This window comes from Homo sapiens, chromosome 5 (assembly GCF_000001405.40).
Source record: "Homo sapiens chromosome 5, GRCh38.p14 Primary Assembly".
NCBI lineage: Eukaryota > Metazoa > Chordata > Mammalia > Primates > Hominidae > Homo > Homo sapiens.
This window is the reverse complement of record NC_000005.10, coordinates 90,031,070-90,038,688: the sequence shown is the minus strand read 5'-3', so window position 1 is coordinate 90,038,688 and position 7,619 is coordinate 90,031,070. Positions and strand designations below refer to the sequence as shown.

The window sequence follows — 7,619 nt, the reverse complement described above, 5'->3', positions numbered from 1 at the left end:
ATTTATTGATTCCTTCTATACTTTGTTTTGGGGTGTGTGGGCAGTGCTAAGAGTTCCCTCAAATATTATAGCTATCCTTTACTCTTTGCTAAAGATTAGCTGGGTTTCCATAGTTAGTAAAAGAAAATTCTGTTCCAAAAGTAACAGTTTAGTGACCTAAATTAAATTAAAAATGTAATGTGAAACTGGGGAATAACTAAATACTTGTTCTCTCATCAAGTAATTTTAGAAACTAGTGCCAAGTGAGTTGTGTAGCGTATTAGCCATAGAGTGGAATATTCCAGAGAGAAGCAGGAATTATTTTGTTGACATCGTCAAAAGTCAGTTAAAAGTATCTAATATTTTGTTTGCTCTTTTCTGCCCAATTGATACCTTTGTTATTTCTATATTATCATATGCTCTCTCCAAAATATGAGCAAATATTAATATGGTAAATTTAGATTTCTTGTAATAACCAGTTAGTATGGTGTGGTAGATTTTATTTTCCAAACATAGTTCTCCAAGTACATATCCCATTCCACATGCTTTTCTTACAATGTGACAGTGATTCTTTTCCACTGGGAGGTGGGTTCTATGTCCCCATCCCTTGAACCTAGGCCATTCAGTGTAGCAACTGCCTCTACTAAGAGAACATGACAAAAGTAATGCAGTGTGACTTTGGAGGCTAGTTCATAAAAGGGCATATGGCTTCTGTTTTTCCCTCAGGACACATGACAAAGAAGCCAGAATTACCATGTAGGAAGTATGGACTCCTTGAAGCCACTGTACAGACCAAAAAGCCTCAGCTGTTACAGCCGCGAGCTGTTCAACTTTCAGCCCAGGCACTAGACATGAGTGAGTAAGCCTCTGGATAATTCGAGATCAGCCCCCAGCTGTTCAAGTTTCAGTCCAGGCACTAGAGATGAGTGAGTAAGCCTCCAGATAATTCAATATCTCAGCCTTTGAGCCAGCCTCGAGTTCCCACAAAGTCCTGATAAGACTGCAGTTTCATGAGGAAAATAAACATAATTGTTAAGTCATTTTTCTTTTTTTTTTAAGATTATACTTTAAGTTCTGGGATACATGTGCAGAACGTGCAGGTTTGTTACATAGGTATGCATGTGCCATGTTGGTTTGCTGCACCCATCAACCTGTCATCTACATTAGGTATTTCTCCTAATGCTATCCCTCTTCTTTCCCCCAACCTCCCAACAGGACCCGGTGTGTGATGTTCCCCTCTCTGTGCCTATGTGTTCTCATTGTTCCACTCCCAGTTATGAGTGAGAACATGCAGTGTTTGTTTTTCTGTTCCTGTGTTAGTTTGCTGAGAATGATGGTTTCCAGCTTCATCCATGTCCCTGCAAAAGACGTGAACTCATTCTTTTTTATGGCTGCATAGTGTTTCATGGTGTATATTTGCCACATTTTCTTTATCCAGTCTAACATTGATGGGCATTTGGGTTGGTTCTGAGTCTTTGCTGTTGTGATTAGTGCTGCAATAAACATATGTGTGCATGTGTCTTTATAGTAGAATGATTTATAATCCTTTGGGTATATACCCAGTAATGGGATTGCTGGGTCAAATGATATTTCTAGTTCTAGATCCTTGATGAATCGCCACACTGCCTTCCGCGATGGTTGAACTAGTTTAAAGTCCCACCAACAGTGTAAAAGTGTTCCTATTTCTCCACATCCTCTCCAGCATCTGTTTTTTCCTGACTTTTTAATGATCGTCATTCTGACAGGCATGAGATGGTATCTCATTGTGGTTTTGATTTGCATTTCTCTAATGACCAGTGATGGTGAGCTTTTTTTCATATGCTTGTTGGCTGCATAAATGTCTTCTTTTGAAAAGTGTCTGTTCATAGCCTTTGCCCACTTTTTGACGTGGTTGTTTGTTTTTTTCTTGTAAACTTGTTTAAGTTCCTTGGAGATTCTGGATATTAGCCCTTTGTCAGATGGATAGATTGCAAAAATTTTCTCCCATCCTGTAGGTTGCCTATTCACTCTGATAATAGTTTCTTTTGCTCTGCAGAAGCTCTTTAGTCTAATGAGATCCCATTTGTCAATTTTGGCTTTTGTTGCCATTGCTTTTGGTGTTTTAGTCATGAAGTCTTTTCTTACGCCTATGTCCTGAATAGTATTGCTTAGGTTTTCTTGTAGGGTCTTCATGGTTTTAGGTTTTATGTTTAAACCTTTAATCCATCTTGAGTTAATTTTTGTATAAGGTGTAAGGAAGGGGTCTAGTTTCCATTTTCTGTGTATGTTTAGCCAGTTTTCCCAACACCATTTATTAAATAGGAAATCCTTTCCCCATTGCTTGTTTTTGTCAGGTTGGTCAAAGATCAGATGGTTGTAGATGTGTGGTGTTATTTCTGAGGCCTCTGTTCTTTTCCACTGGTCTATATATCTGTTTTGGTACCAGTACCATGCTGTTTTTGTTACTGTAGCTTTACATTATAGTTTGAAGTCAGGTAGTGTGATGCCTCCCGCTTTGTTCTTGTTGCTTTGGATTTTCTTGGCTATATGGTCTCATTTTTGGTTCCATATGAAATTTAAAGTAGTTTTTTCTAATTCTGCGAAGAGAGTCAATGGTAGCTTGATGGGAATAGCATTGAATCTATAAATTACTTTGGGGAGTATGGCCATTTTCATGATATTATTCTTCCTAACCAAGAGCATGGAATGTTTTTCCATTTGTTTGTGTCCTCTCTTATTTCCTTGAGCAGTGGTTTGTAGTTCTTCTTGAAGAGGTCCTTCACATCCCTTGTAAGTTGTATTCCTAGGTATTTTATTGTCTTTGTAGCAGTTGTGAATGGGAGTTTGCTCATTATTTGGCTATCTGCTTGTCTATTATTGGTGTATAGGAATGCTTGTAATTTTTGCAGATTGATTTTGTATCCTGAGACTTTCCTAAGTTGCTTAACAGCTTAAGGATTTTTTGGGCTGAGATGATGGGATTTTCTAAGTATACAATCATGTCATCTGCAAACAGAGATAATTTGACTTCCTCTCTTTCTATTTGAATACGCTTTATTTCTTTCTCTTGCCTGATTGTCCTGGCCAGGACTTCCAGTACTATGTTGAATAGGAGTTGTGAGAGATGGCATCCTTGTCTTGTGCCACTTTTAAAGGGAATGCTTCCAGCTTTTGACAATTCAGTATGATATTGGCTTTGGGTTTTTCATAAACAGCTCTTATTATTTTGAGATATGTTCCATCAATACCTAGTTTATTGAGAGTTTTTAGCATAAAGTGCTGTTGAATTTTATCAAAGGCCTTTTCTGTGTCTATTGAGATAATCGGTAGTTTTTGTCATTGGTTCTGTTTATGTGATGGATTTCATTTATTGATTTGTGTATGTTTACCCAGCCTTGTATCCCAGGGATGAAGCCGACTTGTTCATGGTGGGTAAACTTTTTAATGTGCTGCTGGCTTCGGTTTGCCAGTATTTTATTCAGGGTTTTCGCATTAATGTTCATCAGGGATATTGGCCTGAAAGTTTCTTTTTTTGTTGTGTGTCTGCCACGTTTTGTTATCGGGATGATGCTGGCCTCATAAAATGAGTTAGGGAGGATTCCCTCTTTTTCCATTGTTTGGAATATTTTCAGAAGGAATGGTACCAACTCCTCTTTGTAGCTCTGGTAGAACTTGGCTGTGAATCCGTCTGGTCCTGGGCTTTTTTTGGTTGGAAGGCCATTACTGCTTCAATTTCAGAAGTTGTTATTGGTCTATTCAGGGATTCTCCTTCTTCCTGGTTTAGTCTCGGGAGGATGTATGTGTCTAGGAATTTATCCATTTGTTCTAGACTTTCTAGTTCATTTGTGTATAGGTGTTTATAGTATTCTCTGATGGTAGTTTGTATTTCTGTGGGATAAGTGGTGATCTCCCCTTTATCATTTTTATTGTGTTTATTTGATTCTTCTCTCATTTATTCTTTATTAGTCTGGCTAGCGGTCCATTTTGTTAATCTTTTCAAAAAATCAGCTCCTGGATTCATTGATTTTTGAAGAATTTTTCCTGTCCCTATCTCCTTCAGTTCTGCTTTGATCTTAGTTATTTCTCATCTTCTGTTAGCTTTTGAAATTGTTTGCTCTTGCTTCTCTAGTTCTTTTAATTGTGATGTTAGGGTGTCAATATTAGATCTTTCCAGCTTTCACCTATGGGCATTTAGTGCTATAAATTTCCCTCTAAACACTGCTTTAGCTGTGTCCCAGAGATTCTGCTACATTGTGTCTTTGTTCTCATTGGTTTCAAAGAACTTATTTATTTCTGCCTTAATTTCTTTTTTACCCAGTAGTCATTCAGGAGCAGGTTGTTCAGTTTCCATGTAGTTGTGTGGTTTTGAGTGACTTTATTAATCCTAATTTGATTTCACCATGGTCTGAGAGACTGTTATGATTTCTGCTCTTTTGTGTTTACTGAGGAGTGTTTTACTTCCAATTATGTGGTTGATTTTAGAACAGGTGCTATGTGGTGCTGAAAGGAATGTATATTCTGTTGATTTGGGGTGGAGAGTTCTGTAGATTTCTCTTAGGTCCACTTGGTCCAGAGCTGAGTTCAAGTCCTGAATATCCTTGTTAATTTTCTGTCACATTGATCTGTCTAATATTGACAGTGGGGTGTTAAAGTTTTCCACTATTATTATATGGGAGTCTAAGTCTCTTTGTAGGTCTCTAAGAACTTGCTTTATTAATCTGGGTGCTCCTGTATTGGGTGCATATATATTTAGGATAGTTAGCTCTTCTCATTGAATTGATCCCTTCACCATTATGTAATGCCCTTTTTTTCTTTGTTGATATTTGTTCATTTAAAGTCTGTTTTATCAGAGACTAGGATTGCATACCCTGCTTTTTTTTTTTTTTTTTTTGCTTTCCATTTGCTTGCTAAATATTCCTCTGTCCCTTTATTTTGAGCCTGTGTGTGTCTTTGCACGTGAGATAGGTCTCCCGATTACAGCATACCAATGAGTCTTGAGCCTTTATCCAATTTGCTGGTCTGTGCCTTTTAATTGGGACATTTTACCCATTTACATTTAAGGTTAATATTGTTATGTGTGAATTTGATCCTGTCATAATGATAGCTGATTATTTTGCCCATTAGTTGATGCAGTTTCTTCATAGTGTTGATGGTCTTTACAATTTGGTATGTATTTGCAGTGGCTGGTACCAGTTTTTCCTTTCCATATTTTGTGCTTCCTTCAGGAGCTCTTGTAAGGCAGGCCTGATGGTGACAAAATCTCTCAGCATTTGCTTGTCTGTAAAGGATTTTATTTCTGCTTCACTTATGAAGTTTAGTTTGTTTGGATATGAAATTCTGGGTTGAAAATTCTTTTCTTTAAGAATGTTGAATATTGGCCCCCACTCTCTTCTGGCTTGTAGGGTTTCTGCAGAGAGATCTGCTGTTATTCTGATGGGCTTCCCTTTGTGGGTAACTTGACCTTTCTTTCTGGCTGCCCTTAACATTTTTTCCTTCGTTTCAACCTTGGTGATTCTGACCAGTATATGTTTTGGGGTTGCCCTTCTCGAGGAATGTCTTTGTGGTGTTCTCTATATTTTCTGAATTTTAATGTTGGCCTGTCTTGCTAGGCTGGGGAAGTTCTCCTGGATAATATCCTGAAGTGTGTTTTCCAACTTGGTTCCGTTCTCCCTGTCACTTTCAGGTACACTAATCAAATGTAGATTTGGTCTTTTCAAATAGTCCCATATTTCTTGGAGGCTTTGTTCATTCCTTTTCATTCTTTTTTCTCTAATCTTGTCTTCATGCTTTATTTCATTAAGTTGATCTTCAACCTCTGATATCCTTTCTTCTACTTGATCGATTTGGCTATTGATACTTGTGGATGCTTCACGAAGTTCTCGTGCTGTGTTTTTCAGCTCCATCAGGTCATTTATGTTCTTCTCTAAACTGGTTATTCTAGTTAGCAATTTCTCTAACCTTTTATCAATGTTCTTAGCTTCCTTACATTGGGTTAGAACACGCTCCTTTAGCTTGGAGGTGTTTGTTCTTACTCACCTTGTGAAGCCTACTTCTATCAATTCACCAAACTCATTCTCCATCCAGTTTTGTTCCCTTGCTGGTGAGGAGTTGTGATCCCTTGGAGGAGAAGAGGCATTCTGGTTTTTGGAATTTTCAGCCCTTTTGTGCTGTTTTGTCCTCATCTTTGTGAATTTATCTGGCTTTGGTCTTTGCTGTTGGTGATCTTTGGATGGAGTTTTTGTGTGGTCATCTTTTTTGTTGATGTTGATGCTATTCCTTTTTGTTTGCTAGTTTTCCTTCTAACAGTCAGGCCCCTCTTCTGCAGCTCTGCTGGAGTTTGCTGAGAGTCCACTCCAGACCCTGTTTGCCTGTGTATCACCAGCAGAAGCTGCAGAACAGCAAAGATTGCTGCCTGCTCCTTCCTTTGGAAGCTTTGTCCAAGAGGGGCACCCGTCAGATGCCAGCCAGAGCTCTCCTGTATGAAGTGTCTGTTGAAACCTCCTGGGAGGTGTCCCCCCATCAGGAGGCATGAGGGTCAGGGACCCACTTGAGGAGGCAGACTGTTCCTTAGTAGAGTTCAAGCGCTGTGCTGGGAGATCCACTGCTGTTTTCAGAGCCAGTAGGCAGGAACGTTTAAGTCTGCTGAAGCTGTGCCCATGGCCGCCCCTTCCCCTAGGTGCTCTGTCCCAGGGAGATGGGAGTTTTATCTATAAGCCCCTAACTGGGGCTTCTGCCTTTCTTTTGGAGATGCCCTGCCTAGACAGGAGGAATCTAGAGAGGCAATCTGGCTACAGCAGCTTTGTGCCACTGCAGCGGGCTCTGCCTAGTCCAAACTTCCAAGCGGATTTGTTTACACTGTGAGGGGAAAACCGCATACTCAAGTCTCAGTAATGGCAGATACCTCTACCCCCACCAAGCTCAAGTGTTCCAGGTCGACTTCAGAGTGCTATGCTGGCAGCGAGAATTTCAAGCCAGTGGATCTTAGCTTGCTGGACTCTGTGGGGGTAGGATCTGCTGAGCAAGACCACTTAGCTCCCTTGCTTCAGCCCCTTTTCCAGGAGAGTGAACGTTTCTGCCTAGCTGGCATTCCAGGTGCCCCTGGGGTATGAAAGAAACCTCTTGTAGCTAGCTCGATGTCTGCCCAAATGGCTGCCCAGTTTTGTGCTTGAAACCCAGGGCCCTTGTGGTGTAGGCACCCAAAGGAATCTCCTGGTCTGTGGGTTGCGAAGACCATGGGAAAAGCATAGTATCTGGGCCAGATAGCACCACCCCTCACTGCAAGGTCCCTTACATCTTTCCTTGGAGGCAAAGGAAACTTTCCCTCACATCTTTTTCTTGGAAGGAAATGCCAGGGGAGGGAGTTCCCTGACACTTTGCTCTTCCTGGGTAAGGCAATGCCCTACCCTGCTTCTGCTTGCCCTCTGTGGGCTGCACCCACAGTGTAACCAGTCTGTATGAGATGAACTGTGTACCTCAGTTAGAAATGCAGAAATCACCCACCTTCTGCGTTGGTCTTGCTGGGAGCTGCATACAGGAGCTGTTCCTATTCAGCCATCTTGCCCGGGAAATCCTGGTTAAGACATTTTAAAAATTAGTTTTTATTCAGATTTTTAATTTGATTGCATTATATTGATTATATTAACGTGTAATACACATGCCAT

The 7,619-nt window shown here is 40.2% G+C and overlaps 1 annotated feature.

Annotated features, from left to right (window-relative positions):
* Positions 6,224-6,723: an enhancer, noted in NCBI's record as "H3K27ac hESC enhancer chr5:89327783-89328282 (GRCh37/hg19 assembly coordinates)". NCBI's record gives its function as "activates a minimal SCP1, AML or CMV promoter by ChIP-STARR-seq in primed H9 embryonic stem cells {active_cell/tissue: H9 hESC(primed)}" and the evidence as "EXISTENCE:reporter gene assay evidence [ECO:0000049][PMID:30033119]".